At 45.6% G+C, this 22,786-nt stretch overlaps 1 protein-coding gene and 1 long non-coding RNA gene across 7 annotated transcripts in view; one reads left to right on the forward strand and one right to left on the reverse strand.

Annotated features, from left to right (window-relative positions):
- Nucleotides 1-928: 928 nt before the first annotated feature.
- On the forward strand, nt 929-15,347 carry LOC124906233 (uncharacterized). Of its 2 annotated transcripts, XR_007095897.1 has the most exons (4): nt 929-1,115; nt 2,795-2,881; nt 14,425-14,646; nt 15,029-15,347. It is a non-coding gene; the product is annotated as an uncharacterized LOC124906233 (long non-coding RNA). The 2 variants fall into 2 exon arrangements; XR_007095898.1 differs by lacking the exon at nt 2,795-2,881.
- CDCP1 (CUB domain containing protein 1) overlaps nt 15,049-22,786 on the reverse strand; it is a 64,206-nt gene continuing 56,468 nt past the window's right edge. For 4 of the 5 annotated variants that reach the window (XM_024453718.2, XM_011534024.2, NM_022842.5 and 1 more), the window contains 2 exons: nt 21,826-21,913; nt 15,049-18,839 (listed from right to left, as the gene is read on the reverse strand). In XM_024453718.2, the coding sequence (XP_024309486.1) occupies nt 18,410-18,839; nt 21,826-21,913 (518 nt within the window). In that variant the 3' untranslated portion in view covers nt 15,049-18,409. The remainder of the gene's footprint in view (nt 18,840-21,825; nt 21,914-22,786) is intronic. The other variant, XM_017007070.2, reaches the window with a different exon arrangement.

Below are 22,786 nucleotides of genomic sequence, written 5' to 3' on the forward strand. Positions count from 1 at the left end.
TGCTTAGTAACTATTCTCATTTCCTAATGGCATTCTGGCTTATTTGTGGGCATTTATACCTGTTTCCCACTGTGAGTGCTAAAGGGGTTGGATCACCCCTCTTTCCAGCCTGGCACAATCAGGGGTGGACCTTATGAGCTAGACTCAGCCAACAAGACATCCTCTTGGGGGACTCGGGGTTTTGAGTGAGGGGGCTGAGGACAAGGCTCATTCATTACTGTGGCAGCAGGTTCAGTGGACAGTTCTTGTGTCAAAGTGTAAGTAAAAAAAGTCAAAAATACGACTCATACAAAATAGGATGAACATGAGCCACAGAGCTTATTTAATTCATTAAGCAATGAGGGAAACAGTAAGATGAAAAGCTGGTTCTGAGAGCATATGAAGAATTGGGAAAGGCACACCAAAATAAACATTTTAAGTTGTACACAAACCTGGTTAATGTTCTATAGGGTAATAAAGCCATAGCGTACTTTCTGTTCAGTTTATGACATTAATATAATCCCAAGAGTTAGAACTAGGATTCCTCATCCTCCTTCTACGGAGGTTGCCAGACCTAAGTGCTTTTGGTACTCTCTTTCTCTTTTGATGCTGATTATTCGGGAAGTCACATGTGGCTCTGGATACTATCTTTCTTTCAAGATGTCAGGGGCATCTAAAAACCTGCCTGGGAATTTTTCTGTGCTCATGGGTGGGTGTTACATGTCATGAGATCAAGAACCCAAAAGCAGAGGATGAGATTGCCATATAAGACCTCTCGGAACCCAAGGCTTCATAATTGGAACATAGCAACATTTGCTGCATTGTTTTCCCATGTCTCTAGGTGACTGGATACTTATTATAGAATGCTGGTTGTTATGGTGATGAGAGATGGGGGAAACCAGGCCGATTGTACACTGTGAATGAAGGTTTAATCTATGTCATCCTTTGTCACAGGTCATCCTGTTGCCTGGGATGAAGTGTCACATAGTTTGAATCCACATTGCTTGCTGACTTCATGGGGTGAATGAACTTTTCCAAGATTCTGGAAGCCTATTGTAATTTGTGTTCTCTACATTTTCCTGAGGTCCCAGGGATGCCGTGACTACTAAGCTCTATGGTAGGAGTTGGGGCAGGAGGTGAGTAGAGGTGACCAATGACTGGTGTGCCAAGGTCTTTCCCCCTCTGAGATTCCAGTCAATTCCAGGCATGGAGTTGTGGTTAAAAGAACCTCAGATGACATAAGAACAATACAACGGACATTGGGGACTTGGAGGAAAGAGTGGAAAGGAGGCAAGGGATAAAAGACTACAAATATGGTGCAGTGTATACTGCTCAGGTGATGGGTGCACCAAAATCTCACGAATCACCACTAAAGAACTTACTCATGTAACCAAATACCACCTATATCCCAATAACTCATGGAAAAATAAACTAAAATAATTTTAAAAAAGATTTAAATATAACCTCCTCAGAAAGGCCTTTCCTGACCACTCAAAGATAGCCACCCAGTTACTCTCTATATCATTCAGTTTTAATTCCTTAATTAGCTCATGCTGTTTATTTTGTAATTGTTTGTTCCCCACTCCAGATATAAAACACATCAGAGCAGGACCCTTATCTTGCTCATCGCTGTATCCCAGAGTGCTCGATAAATATTTGTTGATTGAAGGACCGTCTTCCGATTCAGTGACAGAGAGGTGGGCCATGAGGGAAATAAGGAAAAAAGTAGAAACAGGAAATGAAGAAAATCAGAAACAATTTAATACTCTATTGTGTGCAAAAATGAAGTAGAAAGAAGAGACAAGAAAATGTACATAAAGGGGTTAGAAGAAGGAGAGAGGAAAATAAATTACTGTTATGTTTTGGAAAAACTCTTAACTAGAGGGAAGGGAACTAACTTTATTGAGCTCCCTCTATGTAGGAAACCTAAATTACCAGATGATGTGGGGTTTTTGTTTGTTTGTTTGTTTGTTTGTTTTTTTGGACAGATTTTATTTCAACTTAGAGTCATCACCAAAATTACTTTCCTCATTTTCAACCTTTTCCTAGGAAGAAAAGAAAGTGAGCTATTTTATTCTATAGAAAGAAAAACAAATGCCTATTTGTTTTCATCAAGTGAAATTGTCAAGGATGACTGGCAGTGCCATTCACTGAGAAAGAGTACTAGAAGAAGTGTTTTGCAGGGAAATCATGAGTTTCATTTTTAACAGGTTAAAATTGAGATATTTTGAAATATTCAAGTAAAGGTGTTGACAAGATAATGGGATATATCACTCAGAGGAGAGGTCTGAGCTGGAGGTCTAAATCTTTGATGTATGGATGATAATTGAAGCCATAGGCATGGATGTGAGTGTCTAGAGAGAAAGAACAGCATATGAAAAAAATGGGGTTTCATGGATGTACCTTAAGGAGCTCCAGTATTTAAGGTTTAGGTGGTAGGAGACAAGCTTTTGAAGGAGACTCAGAAGGAATGGTCAGGAGAATATGGTTTTATGAAAACCAAGGGAATATACTGTTTCAAGGAGAATAATGGTCAGCAGAGTTGAATGCTGCTGAGACACCAAAGAAAATGAGAATTGAAAATGTTTATTCCCTTTAGTGACATTGAAGTCTTTGACCTCAGTGAAAGTAATTTTAGCAGAGTGGAGATGGAATCTGAGTCATTTTAACATCCACAGTACCTTTCCATAGAGTAGATATTTGATATGTTTTTTCATTTGCTTTACCATGAAATGTATAATTATGCAGCAGAATGTATAACGTATATGTAATATTTGAAGAACAAAATGAACAACATTTACCCATAACCTGTTAGGAAACAACTTTAGAAGACACCTGTGTGTCCCTCCCTGCTTGCATCTAGCTTCTTCGTCTGCCCAGGTGGACTGCTCTTACCGTTGCAGTAAGTGTTCCCTTGCTTCTCTTTTATAGTTTTACTGCCTATGAGTGATTCCCTAAACAATACACTGTTATTTTTAAAATATACTTTTTTAGTTTTAACTGGTTTTGAACTCTTTATAAATGGAATTATACTGTATTCATTCTGAAAATAAAAAGAACCTCAGATGAACCAAGGATAATAAAGTGCTGATAATTGTTGAGGCTGAGTGATGGATATATTAGTGTTCATTTTACTCTTTTCTCTACTTTAGTGTATGTTAGAAGATTTCCATACTTGAATGTGAAACAATTTCTGAAAGATTGAAAAAAATTTTTCTAAATTGTTACTATTTTTATTTTTATTTTATTTTTTTGAGACAGGGTCTCACTCTGTTGCCCAGGCTGGAGTTCAGTGATGTGATCTTGGCTCACTGCAACCTGGCTCCAGCCCAGGCCTCCCCCGGCCTCAGCCTCCCGAGTAGCTGGGACCACAGGCTGCACCACCACACCTGGCTTGTATTTTTTATAGAGATGGGATTTTGCCACGTTTCCCAGGCTGGTCTCGAACTCCTGGGCTCAAGCAATCCACCCATCTCAGTTTCCCAAAGTGCTGGGATTACAGACAGGCATGAGCCACTGTGCCCAGCTGGAAATTTTTTTTTTTTTTAGAAGAAAAGAAAAAGGAAAAAAAGGGCACTTTGAAGATCTTATAGGGTCATATTTAAGTGGTAAAACTTTGGAAAAGTGACTGATCTCAGGCAAATGGCAGGGTATTGTCCAGCCCCTTCCCTGCTTTATTTTTACTCCTTAGTACTTATTACCATGTAACAAACTATATATTTTATTTATTTATCTTACTTATTGTTGGTCTTCCAGCTGAATTACAAGCTTCATGAGGCAGGAACTGTTGGTATGTTTTGCTCATCCCCATCCCCAGGACTTGCAATAGTACCTGGCACATGGATAGGTTCAGGTTCATGAAACAAAAACCAATAGTGACATAAACAAGATAGAGGCTTTTTTTTTTTTAAACATATATGCCATTCAATAGTGGAACCTAGGCCCCTATCTCTTCTCTTTCATCATCCTGACTGTGACTTCTACCATGAAAATTGCCTCATGATCTCATTATTGATGCCAGAGCTCCAGCTGTCACACACACATTCCAGGCAGGAAGAAGAGAGGTGGGGGCAAAAGGACACTTACTTTTCAGCTGAAGCTGCCTCCACTAAAAGTCTTCTTGTAGTCCAATATGGTTTCCAATCACCTGCACAGAGATGGTTTGAGTGCTTGGAGCAGCCCTCACTGTTTGGCTATGAGAGTTCCAGGTCTGCACTTGAGGCCATTATCTGCAACCCAGGACTTTGCTTTAGGCCAATGCCAGGAGACACTTACAGGTTGAATATGAAATTGATCCTCTGCTCTCTGAGAAGTGGTCCCTAATTTAGCATTTGCAGTTTTGGTGGGTGACACTGAGTCTCTGCAGAGGCACCAGGTGGCTCTGGATTTGGTGCAAGTAGCTTCAGCCCATGCCCGAGGAGTGCCTCGGATAGTTTCAGATGAGAAACGAGATCCTGGATGGGCACCCCCTGTAGGGTCCCCTTTCTGAAGAAAGTTGTCCAAGGATGGGAAGCTTGTTGGAAATGTCTGGACTCCAGTCCAGAGATTCTGACTCTGTGTGGGGCCCAGGAATTTGCCTTTTATATAAGAAACCCAGGTAATTTGGACACAGGTTTGAGAAACGACACTGAGATACTCCAGGCCATGGAATGGGATACCAGCTGGTTTAGGACAGAAAACATCTAGAAGCTGTTCTTTCCTACTGAAGCACAAACATTGCACTCAAGTAAGCCTTAAAGAGGCCTTGAGTCTCCATGGACTCAGGCCCTGCTCAGTGTTGAGTAAAATAAAGGTTAACTCAGTAATCTGATGAAAGCTCTCATGTAGATAAACAGTTCTAATTAGCTTGTTCATTGTCCAGTGAGCTCACTTGGGTCTCATTGGTGACCATGGCTCTTTTTGATCATCCATAGACTTTCAGTGACAGATTGTACTTTGGGGTACTTAATGCCTGTAAAATAATAAAACGAAACAAAATGAAATAGTACCATGTTACAATGCGACTCAAGATCATTTTATGATGTTATGATGAACTGTGTTTGTATTAAACGATGGTCCTCATTTGAAGCCTGCCAAAAACACGCTCATTTTCACGTTTGAAAAAATTTTTATTTTTTTGAGGCAGAGCTTTGCACTGTCACGTAGGCTGGAGTGCAGTGGCACGATCTTGACTCACTGTAACCTCTGCCTCCTGAGTTCAAGTGATTCTCCTGCCTCAGCCTCCCAAGTAGTTGGGATTACAGGCTCTGCCACCATGCCTGGCTATTTTTTATATATATATATTTTTTAGTAGAGATGAGGTTTCACCATGTTGGCCAGGCTGGTCTCGAACTCCTGACCTCAAGTGTTCCGCCCACCTTGGTCTCCAAAGTGTTGGGATTACAAGCGTGAGCCACCGCACCCAGCCTGAAAAAATTGTTAAATGCTGAATGACACTATCTTTTAGTGGAGACATTGCACTAGTATATAAAAAACAGGACAAAACTATCAGAAACACACAGTGATATTTAGTGGTCTCTAATCAGCTTAGAAAAGTGAGATGTGGGGCAAATCTCTTTAGAAGCTCTTTAAGTTGATAAGGCAGGCAACTGAGGAAAAAAATTAGTTGTATGAAAACATGTTTGAATGAAGGGAGTTTAGACATCTAAGCAAATATGATTTTTGCATTATGCTGGAAACAAATGCTGCACGACTTGGAAGGATTTACAGTCACACTTAAATACAAACAAACAAACATAAGAAACAGGGACTGAAGCAAAGATGCCAAGTTGCCTACCCGTATCCCTTCATTCCTTCTCTCATTCCCCTCTTGCAATCGACCTTGCCACAGTCTCCAATGTACCTAGCTAATTTTCCAGTTGTCCTTAAAGATAGAGATGAGGTGTAATTCAAAGTTACTGAGTGGGGCTTACAAGAAAGTTCTTTTTTTTTGAGACAGGATCTCATCTCACTCTGTCACCTAGGCTGGAGTGCAGTGGCACGATCATGGCTCACTGCAGTCTCAACATTCCTGGGCTCAGGTGATCCTCCCACCTCAGTGTCTGAGTAGCTGTGACTACATGTGTGCACCATCATGCCCTCCTAATTTTTTAATTTTTTGTAGAGATGGGGTTTCACCATGTTGCCCAGGCTGGTCTTGAACTTCTGGGCTCTAGAGATTCATCCACTTTGGCTCCCAAAGTGCTGGTTACAGAAGTGAGCCAGTGTGCCTGGACTACAAGAAAACTTTTAATGGAGACAGCTTCAGTTGAAAAGTAGATGTCCTTTTGCCCCCACCTCTCTTCTTCCTGCCTGGAATGTGTGTGTGACAGCTGGAGCTCTGGCATCAATAATGAGATCACGAGGCAATTTTCATGGTAGTTGTCACAGTCAGGATGGTGAAGGAGAAAGAGATAGGGGCCTAGGTTCCACTGTTGAGTGGCATATATGTTAAAAAAAAATAGCCTCTATCTTGTTTAGGTCACTATTGGTTTTTGTTGCATGAACCTGAACCTATCCACGTGCCAGGTACTATTGCAAGTCCTGGGGATGGGGATGAGCAAAACATACCAGCAGTTCCTGCCTCATGAAGCTTGTAATTCAGCTGGAAGACCAACAATAAGTAAGATAAATAAATAAAATATATAGTTTGTTACATGGTAATAAATACTAAGGAGTAAAAATAAAGCAGGGAAGATGGATATGAAGTGTGGAGGTCAGGGAAAGGCTTGACATTTTAGAGAGTGTCACCAGCGAAGCCATATGGGATTTCACTGGAGAAATTAAGGTGACATTTGTGTAAAGACTTAGTAAGAGAGAGTCAGGGGGTATCTGGTGGACAAGCTGTTCTCTCCCGGCAGAGAGAACAGCAAATGCAAAGGCTGTGAGGTCAGAGTGTTCGAGGATAGTCAAGGGCTTGGACTGGGTGAAGCAGGATGGTTGACAGAGTACCCGGCAGGAACTGTTGTTAAAGAGGCGATGGAGCCAGGACTAGCAAGGCCTTGTGGACCATAGGAAGAACTTTGGCTTCTGCTGTGAGTGAGTTGTGGCCACAGGCAGGTTCTGGGCAGGGAAGTTGCAAGATCTGCTTTATATACAAAGAGAATCACTGTGCTACTGTCTTGAGATGAGGCTGAAGAGGGCGGAGGTGGAAGCACAGAGACTGATTTAGGTGGAAGCACAGAGCCTGCATCATCTAAGTGAGAGAGGATGTTGGTGTGAACCAAGTGAAAGTGGTGGAAGTAGGAAGAAGGGGGATTCGTCATGTCAGGGAGAACCGTTAAGGTCCCCTATGGACTGGATATAGGATGTGAGAGAGAGAGGAGTCAGAGAGAACTCTAAAGTTTTTGGAAGGACGGAGCTGCCATCAACTGATTTGGAGCAAACTTGTTTCCTCTAGCCTCCCTACCAACCGGAGGAACAGGTTTGAGGGGAACAACAGAAGATCAGTTGTGTATATTTCAAATTAGAGATGGCCATTAGATACCAGCTGGAAATCTCGAGCAGAGATGGATACATGGTCAGAATTCAGGGCATAGGTCCACTTTGGGAGCCATTGGGACATGGATGGTATTTAACGTCATGGGACTGGAGAAAGTCACCAAATGAGTAAGTGTGGAGAGAAAAGAGAAGAATCTGGGCACTGAACCATGGGGCCCTCTGATGTTTAGAGATTGGGAGAAAAGGGGGAGCCAGCCACGGAGACTGAGAAGGAGAAGCCAGAGGGGAAGGAGGACAACCAACAAATCTGAGGCCGTGGTGGCCAAGAGAAGGAAATGTCTCATGGAAGAGAGAGTGAGAGATGGTGTTAAATACTGTGTCAAGTAAGATAAGGACTGAAAATTAAATATGAGGATTCAATAAAACTGTTCGTATAAATATTTTAGAAGAGTTCTTGGTACATAGTAATCATTCAATACATGGAACACACACTACACACACACACACATTTGCTATATTAGCCCTGTTCAATTGCATTTTCTGTGATGACAGAGATGTTCTATATTTGTGCTGTTCAATATAGTAGCCACTTAGCCACATATAGCTACTGAAAGCTTGAACATGTGGCTAGTGCAACTGAGGAATTACATTTTTTTAGAAGGGTGAAGAATTGTATTTTATTGAAACTCAACTCAAAAAAAGAAATAAGATGCTGTAGTGTGCAATGTATTCACACAAAGCACCCTCAGATGCATATTCAAGTCAAGTAAGAACTCCATATCCCTTTTCTTAGTTTTCCTACCCTGGGACCTTAGTCTCTTCCATATACAATCATGCACACTTAATTTGAAAAAGGAAACCCAGTGTATTTTGATGTATTCGTTAGCACCAAATTTAATGAAATTTTAATTAAATAAATACTGAAGTTTAAATAGCCACATGTAGCTGCTGGCTACTGTCTTGAACATAAGCAGTTCTGTAGTCCATCCTGTCTAAATAGACCTATTCTGTCTATAGGCCAATTTACAAACGTTCTCTTTTTAGATGATCAGCCAAATGAGTTTTAGCCAGCTTATAAAGGTGTGGCACAGAAGGCCCGTTGATAGAGTTTAAAAATCATGTGCACAGGAGTGGAAAGTTTGGGTGAGCAAGCAGAGGCCAGCACCCTGAAGAAAGAGGCTGATGGAGTTTAAGACACACTAGGACTCAAATCTCGGTCTGTCTCTTAGTTGTGAAGCCCCAGACAGGTTGTTTAACCTCTCAGAGACTGCCTCATCCTCTGAAAAGGCCTGGCTACTTAATTTGCCAGAGCCCAGGGCAAAATAAAAACACTGGGTCCCTTGTTCAAAAATTATTAAGAATTTTGAGCTGGCAACAGCAGAGACCAAGTGTGGGGCCCTTCCGAGTTGCAGGCTCTGTGTAACGCGTAGGTTACATGACCACGAAGCTGCCTCCTGGGTCTTGAGGATGCGGGCTGGGCAGTCAGAGTGTTGAAAATGGGAGAGGGAACAAAGGCGAGAGCGTTTGCTGCTGCTGCACTGCTGCTGGCCTGGGCAGAAGGCTGGGGTGGGGAGCTCTTTTCTTACATCAGTTTCAGATCTTCCCTCTTTCTGAGTCCTGTAGACTATAGCTAATCTTTTCCTAGGCTTGTTTGTTGGCTGGGTCTCAAATGACCATAGTCTAGCTCTTGCAGTTACCTACTGACATGGTTTAGATCTGTGTCCCTACTGACATGGTTTAGCTCGTGTCCCCACCAGATCTCATCTTGAATTGTACTCCCATAATTCCCACGTGTTGTGGGAGGGACTTGGTGGGAGATAATTTAAATCATGAGGGTGGTTTCCCCCATACTGTTCGCATGGTAGTGAATAAGTCTCATGAGATCTGATGGTTTTATCAGGGGGTTCTGCTTTTGCATCTTCCTCATTTTTCTCTTGCCACCACCATGTTAAGAAGAGCCTTTTGCCTCCCACCATGATTCTGAGGCCTCCCCAGCCATGCAGAACTGTAAGTCCAATTAAACCTCTTTTTCTTCCCAGTCTCGGGTATGTCTTTATCAGCAGCATGAAAATGGACTAATACAGTAACTTGGTACCAGCAGAAGGGGTGCCTCTGAAAAGATACCCAAAAATGTGGAAGCAACTTTGGAACTGGGTAACAGGCAGAGGTTGGAACAGTTTGGAGGGCTCAAAAAAAGACAAGAAAATGTGGGAAAGTTTGGTACTTTCTAGAGACTTGTTGAATGCCTTTGCCCAAAATGCTGATAGCAATATGGACAATAAAGTCCAGGCTGAGGTAGTCTCAGATGGAGATGAGGAACTTGTTGGGAAGTGGAGCAAAGATGACTCTTGTTATGTTTTAGCAAAGTGACTGGTGGCATTTTGCCCCTGCTGTAGAGATTTGTGGAATTTTGAACTTGAGAGAGGTGATTTAGGGTATCTGTGGAAGAAATGTCTAAGCAGCAAAGCATTCAAGAGGTGACTTGGGTGCTATTTAAGGCATTCAGTTTTAATAAGGAAGCAGAACATAAAAGTTTGGAAAGTTTGCAGCCTGAAAATGCAGTATAAAAGAAAAATCTATTTTCTGAGGAGAAATTCATGAAAGCTGCAGAAATTTGCATAAGTAATGAGGAGCCGAATGTTAATCCCCAAGACAATGGGGAAATGTCTCCAGGGCATATCAAAGGTCTTCATGGCAGCCCCTCCCATCACAGGCCCAGAGGCCTAGGAGGAAAAAAATGGTTTTGAGGGCCAGGCCCAGGGTACCTGTGCTGTGTGCAGTCTAGGGACTTGGTGCCCTGCATCCCAGCCACTTCAGCTATGGCTGAAAGGGGCCAATGTAGAGCGTGGGCTGTGGCTTCAAAGGGTGCAAGTCCCAGGGCTTGGCAGCTTCCACATGGTGTTGAGCCTGCAAGTGCACAGAAGTGAAGAACTGAGGTTTGGGAACCTCAGCCTAGATTTCAGAGGATGTATGGAAACGCCTGGCTGTGCAGGCAGAAGTTTGCTGCAGGGGCGGGGCTCTCATGGAGAACCTCTGCTAGAGCAGTGCAGAAGGGAAATGTGGGGTTGGAGCCCCCACAGAGAGTCCCTACTGGGGCACTGCCTAGTGGAGCTGTGAGAAGAGGGCCACTGTCCTCCAGACCCCAAAATGGTAGACCCACTGACAGCTTGCACTGTGCACCTGGAAAAGCCGCAGACCGCAGACTCAACGCTCGCCCATGAAAGCAGCCAGGAGGGAGGCTGTATCCTGCAAAGCCACAGGGGCAGAGCTGTCCAAGACCATGGGAACCCGCCTCTTGTTTCAGCATGACCTGGATGTGAGACATGGAGTCAAAGAAGATCATTTTGGAGCTTTAAGATTTGACTGCCCCACTGGATTTCAGGCTTGCATGGGGCCTATAATCCCTTTGTTTTGACAAATTTCTCCCATTTGAAATGGCTGTATTTACTCAATACCTGTACCCCCATTGTGTCTAGGAAGTAACTAGCTTGCTTTTGATTTTACAGGCTCATAGGTGGAAGAGACTTGCCTTGTCTCAGATGAGACTTTGGACTGTGGACTTTTGGGTTAATGCTGAAATGAGTTAAGACTTTGGGGGACTGTTGGGAAGGCATGATTGGTTTTGAAATGTGAGGACATGAGATTTGGAGGGGCCAGGGGTGGGATGATATGGTTTGGCTCTGTGTCCCCACCTAGATCTCATTTTGAATTGTACTCCCATAATTCCCACATGTTGTGGGAGGGACCTGGTGGGAGATAATTTGAATCATGGGGGCAGTTTTCCCTATACTGTTCCCATGGTAGTGAGTAAGTCTTACAAGACCTGATGGTTTTGTCAGGGGTTTCTGCTTTTGCATCTTCATCATTTTTCTGTTGCCACTGCCATGTAAGAAGTGCCTTTAACCTTCCACCATGATTCTGAGGCCTCCCCAGCCATGTGGAACTGCAAGTCCAACTATACCTCTTTTTCTTCCCAGTCTCAGGTATGTCTTTATCAGCAGCATGAAAACGGACTAATACACCTACATTAAAGGGCAGAGAAGAGGCCGTGCTGGTTCATCCATATAACTCATGGGATCATTAGGAGGTTCTTAAGGCTGGGTACAGGGGCTCATGCCTGTAATCCCAGCACTTTGCTGGGTGAAGGCAGGCAGACTCACCTGAGGTCAGGAGTTTGAGCCTGGCCATGGTGAAGCCTGCCTCTACTAAAAATACAAAAATTAGCCAGGCGTGGTGGGGCACACCTGTAATCCCAGCCATTCAGGAGGCTGAGGCATGAGAATCGCTTGAACCTGGGAGGTGGAGGTTGCAGTGAGCCAAGATCATGCCACTGCACTTCAGCCTGGGCAATAGAGCGAGACTCTGTCTCAAAAAAAAAAAAAAATTGTTCTTATGAAGCCTGAGGCTAGGAGAGAATTGGCCAGCAGGAGGCTGAGTTCCACCTTTCTCATTTCGTCATAAGCACGTTTAAAGCCAAGAAACAGCCTTGTGAACCGCCCAAACAGAACAGTGAGCTGTGAGGTTGGGTGTCGTTTGCAGGCTCCCCAGGACTGGCTGAGGATGCCTTGATGTGGCACTGATTAGAGATGATCCCAGAGACCACACAGATGTGAACAGGACTCCCCTCTTCCGTGGGGAACAGAAGTCCATGAGAGGCTGGGTCTGAAGGGCAGGGCGAGGGTAAAGGAGACAGGTTTGGCAGCAGCCTGGAGGGCTATAGGTGCTTTGCCCTGTGGCTTTAACATCAGATCCCCAAGTATCCCTGACCTGGGGGAGGAGCTGCCAACACAAAGTCCAGAAAGGGCAGGGCATATAGGTGGAAGCAGAAATGCCAATCAGGATGAGTGACAGGGATGAACCAAAGTTGGGTTCAATATTCTGGACCTGGGTGACTGGAGGAATCAAAGCATTCTAGAGTTAGAAGTGGCCTTAGAATATTTAATCTTGTGCCTAGGACTAGATATTGTGCTTCAGTGTCCCTGAGACCTCCTCCACCTCAAACTTGTGGCCTCCTGAAGGAAAGAAAAAGAGACAAACACTATCTAGGAAGCCCTGGGGTCCACCAGACTCCTCGGCAGCCACTCTCCCGACTGTGGCTCCCAGGAGAACCCAGTCTCATGGCCTAGCTGAGTAGCAGAGCACTGTGGAAAGGCTGTATGGTTGCTGCCCTGCCTCTTGCTGCTCTGTGACCCTGGGCTCGTGACTTCACCTTGCTGGGCCTTCTTTCACCAGTAAGCTGAAAATAAGCTTTGCTGCTAGGATATTAATTGGTGACATGAGATAAGGTTTGTAAAACACAGGGCACTTGCCTGACATCTACTTCCTCCTTGCCATCTGGAAGCCTCCAGTATAACACCTGCCTGAAGTCATAGCTGAAGTACAACATGTTTCTGACAATTAAATGTAACAGACATAATTTCTAGGGCACCCACTGCATTGGACAATGTGAGACAGATGGACTAAGTACAAGACATGGACCTCTACCTCTGAAAAAAGTAGCATCTTGGTTAAGCAAAAGACACACAAGCACAAGCTTTTTAAATTATGAAACTAATACAGCTACATGCAGAAGAATTATGAATCAAAAGGACTATTGGGATTTAGAAGGAGAGCTTAGCAGAGTTGGAGGGCTTCCTGGAGAAAATGGGCTCTGTGATAGACTCTGAAGTGCTGGTAAGGCATGGAAGGTGGGCAGCTTTTGCTGTGAGTTGTCCAGGAACAATGGCAAGAGCAAGGTGTGGGCAAGAGCAAGGTGTGGGCAAGAGCAAGGTGTGGGCAGGAGTGGATTCAGAGCCCCACTGGAATAGAGTTTTGAAGTCATGGATGAAGTGGGCGGAGAGAGGTCTGAAGAGGTTAGGAGGGCCAGGCAGTGGACTGGAGGTGCCACACCACCAGCAAAAGACCAAGGATTCTGTTCTAAGGGCCAACCAAGTCTGGAGGCACAGATTTCAGAGTGAGGGAGTCACATGATGAAAAAGGAATGGTGGAATAGAGGGGGATGTTGGATGGGAGGAGAATCTAGAACAATCAGGGTGAGTGACAGGGATGAAATGAAGTTAGGTCCAATATTCTGGGCCTGGGTGACTGGAGGAATCAAAGCATTCTAGAGCGTGAAGTGACCTTAGAAGATGTAATCTTGTATAGCCATTCAGAATAGGTTAATGCCTTTCCTGGGTCCACGGCAAGTTCTTCCTCTCTTAGTTCTCTCAAGAGCTGGTTGTTGAAAACAGCCTAGCGCCACCCCTTCCCCTGCCATTCTCTCCCTTCCTCTCTCACCATGTGATTTCTGCACATGCAGGCTCCCCTTTGTCTTCTGCCATGAGGGGAAGTAGCCTGAGGCCCTCATCAGTTGCAGATGCTGGGTTTCATGCTTCCTGTACAGCCTGCAGAATCATGAGCCAAATAAACCTCTTTTCTTCATAAATTACCCAGGCTTATGTATCCCTTTATAGCAACACAAATGGACTAAGACAGTACCCTCCCTATGGGGCAGTGTCCAGAGAGAAAAGGCCAGAAGACCAAAGACTGAACCTTGAGTCCTGGGAACAGGATCCAGGAGAAGGGGCAGTCAGAGGTGGGATGCAGCCCAGATGTGGTCATGGTGATCAAGGACGCAGTAGTGAAGGTGGTCAGTGCTGTCCACAGGCATGGTACTTGGCTGTGATCTCCCCAGCCCCACTGAAGCCTATTACAGATGGCTGCAAATTCTTTGACACCTCTCCCACTGAGATGGGGTGGGGGAATCTTTGCTTCCTCCATGTAAATCGGAGTAGGTTCTGTGACTAATGCCCCCCATAGAATAGAATGGAAGTTTAGCTGGGCATGGTAGTGCATGGCTGTAGTCCCAGCTACTCGGGAGGCTGAAGTGGGAGGATCGCTTTAAGCCCAGGAGTTCTCCAGCTGGGGCAAGAGAGTGAGAACCTGTCTCAAAAAAAAAAAAAAAAAAAAAAAAAGGAATAGAATGGAAGTAATGTCATGCCAGTGTCCAGTTCCAGCCTCTGAGAGACTGGCTGTTCTGACCTTTAGAATCTGGGAGCACTCAGTTGTGGAACCCAGCCACCATGTTGTGAAGAAGCCCTGTGCAGTGGTCCAAGTGACCAGGAGTCAAAGCTCCCAGCCAATAGCCAGCACTAACTTGTCAGCAGTGTCATGGAGCCCACTTGAAAGAGGATTCTAATTATGCTGCCCAAGCTGTGGCCACATGGAGGAGAGATATACAGTCCCTGCTGAACCCTGCTCTAATTACAGGTTTGTGAGCAAAACTACTAATTGTTAACTAAATTTTGGGGTGGCTCATTACACAGCAACATCTGGTTTTCTCGGTGGATTCAATCCAATGTGCTTGGGTCTCCCCTCCTAGTGCATGGCAGATGGTGGGGGCCATGGGAACTTCCCTCTCTCACTGCTCTCCCTTAACTTTTGTTCTGGTGGCTGGTGACCTCCACGGGGCTTAGAGATCAACTGTGGTCAGTGATTAGGGTGGCCCTGGGCCTCTATGGGGGTTAGGTATTGGGAAAGGTCACAAAGGGTGGGGCCCATGTAGCCCCCACAAGAACAGAACAGAACAGAACAAGCCCTGGCCTCTCAGCTACCCATTGGCATAGCTTCCATTCCTTCCACTTGCATACAGGGAGACTTGAAAACCAGTGGTGGCGAGACTCCAAGACTATTATTTTTATTTCCGGACAAAAACATCTGCTTCACACAGTGCACGGCATCAAATGAAGAGGAAAGAACTTGTATCCCAAAGCCTGGCTTTCTGTATCATCCACAAATTAAGACAGCATCTGCTGAGCCCATGCTGAGCCTGTCACAGTCAACAACTGGGAAACCGGGGCCTCTACTGAACCAGGGGACAAGTAGCCGAAGCACTTAAACAGCTTGATACTTGTTTTTTGGTACATTTGTTTATTTAAAGCACAGGAAATGAATAAAATGCCACCTAAAAAGTATCTGCAATGAATAAATTATTTCCAGTGAAGCACTGCAGATCCACACACACCAGTCTGCTAACCTTTACCAAGGCCATGTCCGGTGGGCTTGTGCTTGTTCCAGTTGACTCTTCCTTGAGACCTTTCCCTTCTGTGCAATGACCACAGCATTAGAGACCAGTCCTGCATGCGCTGGCCTTCCTCGTAGGCATGGCAGACCACGTGGATGAGCAGTGGGCTGGCATGCAGTAGGCTTCAACAAATGGCACTTCACTGTTTCCAGTGACCCTGAAATGTTTTACGTAAGTGGGGCCTGGGCTTTAAAGAAAAGAGCCAGGGTTCCTCAGGCTGGGCCCCTTCACTGAGGCACAGCTCCAGGAAATACTGGTCTCAGGAGCCAGCAACTTGTCCAGGAGTTTTGAGCCCTCAGTTGAAGGAAAATGGCCACGTGGTGTCCTTGCAGGCAACAGTGATGTCGGTGATGGTGACAAGTAGCCAGCCTAAGGAAGGCCAATCCCACCTTGGGTGGAATGCAGGGCACCTAGTCCTGCTTGGAAGGGGCTGGGAGGTTGGGGAATGTCGAGAATGGAGGGCTAGGGCTCCACACAGTGAATTCAAATAAGGGCTCTTCAGTGAGGGAAGGAAGCCGCAGCCCTCCTTTGGCCCTTTATGCAGGGTCAGCATCTCGGCTCACAAGGCCAAGGGTCACTGGGCAGGAACCAGACTTTCAGAAGGGAAAGGTGCCATAGGCAACGCCAAGGGCATGACTTAAATATCCTATCCTCTGGAAAGTGTTCAAGAGGTCTTGCAGTACACGCCATTTAGGAGACTATAAAATTCCTTTCATTTATGCCATGTGAACAAGTTGAGGCGGTGCATTTCCAAGGTGAATTCATTGAATACAATGAAGTACATTTATTTTTTGAAGGAAGTTTTTGCCGCAGAAATATTGAACTTGGGACTGTGCTGACAAGCTATAACATAATCCCTCTCCTTCCAGATCAGAGCAGGGGTGAGGAAGCAAAAGTCCACAGTTACTGGGCAGGTAATTGGTATAAATGAGGGTGTGGGGCTGGATGCGGTGGCTCACATCTGTAATCCCAGCACTTTGGGAGGCCGAGGCAGGAGGATTGCTTGAGCCCAGGAGGTTGAGACCAGCCTGGGCAACATGGTGAAACCCTGTCTCTACAAAAAATACAAAATTAGCTGGGCATGGTGGTTTGTGCCAGTGATCCCAGCTATTTGGGAGGCTGAGGTGGGAGAATTGCTTGAGCCCAGGAGGCAGAGGTTGCAGTGAGCCGAGATTGCGCCACTGCACTCCAGCCTAGGCAACAGAATGAGATCCTGTCTCACATTAAAAAAAAAAAGAAAAAGAAAAAGAAAAAAAAGAAAAAGGGTAATGTGAGCACACATTGGTCTCATGGTCTACTCACCTGATTAGAGATTAATCCCAGTCTTTCTTTTTCATTACAATAAATGCAACCTGCAGGGGCATTGATCAGTAGAAACAAACACTCAGCCTCATTGTGGGAAGTGATAGGGCGTAGTGTGGGCTGTGGTGACCTGGTGAAGTGGACACCCCTTCTAAAGGCAGAGCTGGTGCCCAGCTCCAGCCAGTTGTTGCTAGGTGAGAATGTGAGCCCCAGCATGGCCAGATCTTCTGATCTGGGTTTTTTTTTAAGTGTTAGAGTCCGCAAGCTAAACAAAACATCCCTGTGCGCCAGATCATTTTGTAGCCTCTCCTGTGGGAGTCAGTGGCAGGAAGGTGTGGTAGGCAGAATAACAGCACCCCAAAGATGTTCTGGTCCTAATCCCCACCTGTGGCTATGTTGTCTTGCATGGCAAAAGGCTCTTCCAGGATGATGAAGGAACTTTAGATGGAGAGATTATCCTGGATCTTCCTGGTGGGCTTTGTAAGTCAAAGAGGGAAGTGGGAGGGCCAGTGTCACAGTGATGCCATGTGAGAAAAGCTTGACCAGCCACTGGAGCCTGGGAATGCAGCCAGCCTCTAGAAGCTTGAAATGGCAAGGAACCGGCTTCTCCCTAGAGCCTTCAGAAGGAGCACAGCTCTGCTGACACCTTGATTTTCATTCAGGGACATCCATTTTGGAATTCTGATCCCCAGGACTATAAGCTAATGTGTTGTTTTTAAGCTACCAAGTAATAGGTTGCAGTGGCAACAGAAAACTAATGCAGGGGGCCACTGTTTGGTATATATTTAAACATTTTTAGAGGATGAGAATATTCTCTAAATTTCTCTTTAAATGTCAAAGTATTGCTGCAGCTAGGAGAACCGCACATGGAAACTTGAGGAAATTTCTCTTATTGCTAGGACTATAGGACAATGGGATTCAAGATGAATTTCCACAATGGGATAACCACGAACCGACCTAGAGAATCAGGAAGTCTCTTATCAAAGCAGATATGTGTCAATGCTGCTCAAACACACACATTCTTTTCTGGTTGGACAGATTGTAAATTATTCCCACCACCTGGGGGACAGGCACACGTTTATCTAGCGGTCAGTAGAAGTCACAACCCAGGCATCCAAACCAGTTAGTATGAGTTATTACTAAGTCAGGTGAAAAGAGCTAGGTGGTTATACATTTGATCTCTTAAATAACACAGGACCACCAAATAAATAATAATAAAAAGGCACATTGTCGTTTTCATCCTGGGGACCCCAGTGAGAGTAGGGACCTCAGGTAGGCTCCTTGGAATTGGAACTGTTGTCCTGAAGAGGGCAAGCCTCTGTTTAACACTCTGAATCCAGGGCTTGCTGCAACCCTATGCTAGGTGACTCAGGCCTCTCTCCTCTCATTACAGGCTGGCTAACCGCACAGCCTAAGTTGAGGAGCACATGAGCTGTCATGACTGTATCCAGATTGGAATTCATCATTTTCAATGTCTTGCCCTTAGAATGAGTCCACTGAGCAATGTGAAGTTGGCGGTGTCCAGGAAAACCTCCTGCTGTTCCTTCTGTATAATTCCTCTTCTTTAGGATTTCTGGTTAGGAACACGGACGGGTGTCTCAGTGCCCTGCTTTATGAAACTCAGCAAAGCGTCTGGAATGGATCAAGTTATTCTGCTGGCTCCATGGGCTCCTGAGTGTTCAGTAAGGGAATGTCTGTGTCCTTGCTGCTTACATCCCCATTGTTGGGATGGGAGAAGGTGTACGGTTCACTCTCAGACTCAGGAGGGGAGCGAGGAGGTGGCTCCTCAGTGGCCAACTTTGCAGTTGGGGCCCTGGAGCATATGGTGGGTGGGGAGGGAGGACAGACCCCCATGGTGCCCTGGAACGGCCGGTAGGTGTCCACCTCTGGCTGCAGGAAGGAGCCGCTGGAATCCTGTAGCAGATGCCCATATACCATGGTGTCCTCGATGACTGCATACACATGGGAGTCATTGTCCTTTCGCCCTTTCTGAAACTTTTTTGGCTGCCTCGGCATCTCAGTATTGATGTTGTCATTGTAGATACCCACAGCGGGGCCCTTGTTTGTCTTCTTTTTCCTATTTGGAAAAATGGAACAAGACAGAAGTCAGAAAGGCAAGAATCTTCGATGGGTACCATTGCTATGGCCCTGCTAGAGCTTGGATTCTTTAGGGTTCTGACCATGTCTCCCCCAAATCCCTCAGATTGCTCAGCATTTGAAACTGAAACTACTGTCCTCAGTGAACATTTAGAAGGGACCTGATTTTGTCTCCAGTTTTCAAAGTGGAAACAGAGATCACAGGTAGTAGAAGAGTGGTTTAGAGAGGGCACCTCTATCACTATCTGTGCTCAATTCGTTTTTGATAGATATGCGGTATCCAATGGTGGAGACATCTGACAATCTCTTTCCCCTCCATTCTACCAGAAATGGGCAGTGTCCCAGACCTTCTCAACCACATCAGGCTCAGTCATGCCTAGGTCAATCCTCCCGCACTCTTAGTACTTTCCCGTAGCTCATGCTTTATCTCTCTTTTGCCTGGGAAAAGCTCTGACCATCTAGATTTTAAATGGCGATACAAGAGACTCAGGAGGCCAGGTTGTATCTTAGTTTTCAGTATGAGCTGGGGAGAGGATAACTCAGCATTAGCAGAGAGACCCAGTGCCTCAGTAGTCACCCCCAACAGAGGAAAGAGCTAAAAAGAAGACAAAATTCAGGCTGCAGTGCCAGAGTTCTTCAATAACACCATTAGCATTTGGTTTATAATGTTCTTTGGTACTTGGACCTGCATGGGCATTAGCGCTTGCTGCCACAGAAAACAAAGCTTTGCTCTCCATCTTTGTGAACCAAACAGCAGGGAATGCTGACTTTTTAGCTGACCAGTGATGCAAATGGAGGACATTAGCTCAATTAGCGTAATGGGCCATATAAGGCACAGGCTGGCAGTTCATAATGGTGGACAGGCTGTCTGTACTTTGCTGAGATAAAAATAAACCTGGTACCTTCAGCTTGTAACGCTGAGCCCCTGGCCAGGAGGATGGGTTCCTAAGGCTCCTGCCTGAAGCCCTGTAATGTTTGTCCCCACTAAAGCTCTTCTCATGCTATCCTGAAACTGACTGTTTATTTGCCTGTCTTTTCAGTCCCCCTGCCCCCATAGAAGAGATTGTCTCACTCATCATTGTCCCCAGTACCTCAATGAATCCTAGTGCCCAGGAGACACTCAGGAAGTACCCGCTTAGTGAACATGTTAGATGGCATTGTCTCTCCTCATTCTCACTGCACAACCTGTCCATCCTCCTACAACAGCTTGGGCACGGACAGGCCTTATGCAAACCTGCCAGCCAGCAGCCTCACACAAGCAAGGCCTGTAGCAAGGCTGGACTGACGATTCTCAGGCTTAAACTGGCGCTGTTTCAAGATGAGGCAAGTGCTGGATCTCGTTCCTTGTCCAATTCCCTCCTGATAAGGAACCTGGGGCCCAGTGTTAATGCCATGCTTCCCCAACTGGGTGGGCTATTCCGTGCACCGCAGATGGGAAAATTCCCTGAGAGAAACAGTAACATGATGTTTCCTTAAAAGCAGTCCTTTTTCCCCCATGTGTTATAGGTACAGCCACTTCTCATGGGGAAAAGACCTCCTGCAAGCCAGTCCTTCCTCATCAGCAGAGACATTTGTAGACAGTCTTGTTGTAGACTAGGAATTTCAGTTCTTTGCTCAGGTCCACAGTTAATTTTTAAAAAAGAATTTTTTGGCTGGGTGTGGTGGCTCACGCCTGTAATCTCAGCACTTTGGGAGGCCGAGGCGGGTGGATCACAAGGTCAAGAGATCGAGACCATCCTGGCCAACATGGTGAAACCCTGTGTCTACTAAAAATACAAAAAAAAATTAGCTGGGCGTGGTGGCGGGTGCCTGTAGTCCCAGCTACTCGGGAGGCTGAGGCAGGGGAATCGCTTGAACCCGGGAGGCGGAGGTTGCGGTGAGCCGAGATCGCGCCACTGCACTCCAGCCTGGCAACAGAGTGAGACTCTGTCTTAAAAAAAAAAAGAATTTTTTCAGATTGGCTTTTTGGAAGGTCAAACCATGTTAAGGAAAATAGCTCTCTTCTCTCTCCCATGACTTTAGTCAGAAATATGAGCAGAATTTATACAGTTTGGCGGCAGCACGGACTCTGTCTAAAAAGGTCAACATTTTCCTTTTATAAAATAGAAGCTCAGCCAGGTACGGTGGCTCATGCCTGTAATCCCAACATTTTGGGAAGCCAAGGTGGGTGGATCACTTGAGGTCAGGCGTTTAAGACCAATCTGGCCAATAAGGTGAAATCCCGTTTCTACAAAAAAATACAAAAAAAATTAGCTGGGCGTGGTGGTGTGTGCCTGTAGTCCCAGTTACTCGGGAGGCTGAGGAAGGAGAATCACTTCAACCCAGGAGGCGGAGGCTGCAGTGAACCGAGATTGCACCACTGGCAACAGAGCAAGACTCTGTCTCAAAAATAAATAAATAAATAAATAAAACAGAAGTTGTCCTCCTGAGGGGATGGAAAGAGAGACTGAGGCAGTTAACTGGGCCTTCCTTCCTCTGGGCCACAGGCCTGGCCTCTGTTACATACCTGGAGCCCAACAGGCAAGGATAAAGCAGTTTGCTTAAGAAACTGCAGGAGAACAAGCTGGGACAACACACATTCGTTCTCCTTAGGGTGACGGAGGGAGTGGTTTCAGAGGCACAGTCTGGCAGAGCCTACGTGAGCATTTTCTTGCCAAGATCACTCCTGCTTGATCAATCTACTGAGCAAACAGCACTCTGCTTGCAGGGGACTTGTGCTGAGGCAGCTGCACCATGAACTACATACAGGTGAAAATGTCACGTGTGTTTTATCCCCCCCTCACCCCCAGGCATGGGATTTTTTTTCTCCTGAAAGCATGACTCACACCTGGCAATATTGTTTAACATTGATCTTTGGGGGAAAAAATGGGAAGCAAGAAAACAAAGTCAATAATGAACAATCCACCCAGTCTGTGTGATCTGAGGAGGCATCAAATCAGATAAAGAGAGTAAGAGATTCCACCTACTTCTTTTTCACACAGCAAATGATGAGCCCGAGGGCAGACAGCAGTAAGACTCCACCTCCCACCGCTGCGATGAGGATGACAGTCAAGTCTGTGAGCAGAGACATAAAGAGACAGATGAAGAGGCAGCTGGGGTGAGCTCTGCAATGAACTTGAGGCATCTCCAAAAGCAGCTGCCATCTCTCCAAAGGTGGAGCGCCATACATGTGGCTCCTTGTGTGCACATGGGGCTCCTCATATCACAAAGTGTTTATTTCCTTTCCTCTTGGATCTGGGTCAGCCAATATAAGGCAACTGTGCCAGTTCTGGGCCTAACTTTTAAGAGGATGTCAGCTTGCACTTTCTCTCTGAGAGAAAGCCAGCTACTATGTAAGAAGTCTGACTATGCTGAGACCACCATGCTGTGAGAAAGCCCAAGCTAGCCATGTAGAGATTCCACCGGGGAAAAAAATCAACCCAGTGAGAACCAAAGGCCATAGACATATGTCTCCAGTTGAATTCTCCAAGCCATCCTCTCTACTTGTTCAAGGCTTCTGGTTGGGGCCCCAGATATCCTGGAGCACAGATAAGATACACTGCTGTGCCCTGTCTGAATTCCTGATCCATAAATCGTGGGTAAACAAAATAGCTATTGCCAAAGCCACCAAATTTTGGGGTAGTTTGTATATAGCAATGAACAATTGAAACAAACTGAGGGACCTACCAGATCAACTTCAAAGGCTACTCCTGGCCTACAACAGGTGTGTTCCACTGATTGCCACAGCCTGTCTTGGAGAAGAGAAGAGCAGAGGAGGGTAGGAGAAAGCAGGGAGTCAAAAGTCAGAAGTGAGGCAGCTAAAGGGAGGGTTGTTTCCTTTGTGCTGTCCTTTTCCTGCAGCTGCACAAAGGAAAAAGAAAATAAATCAGAGGGGGAACCCTGTACCAAACAGCGAATTAGAATGTCTTGCTTATTCACCAAGAAAAC

The sequence above is a fragment of the Homo sapiens genome, chromosome 3, assembly GCF_000001405.40.
Source record: "Homo sapiens chromosome 3, GRCh38.p14 Primary Assembly".
Classification (NCBI taxonomy): Eukaryota; Metazoa; Chordata; class Mammalia; order Primates; family Hominidae; genus Homo; species Homo sapiens.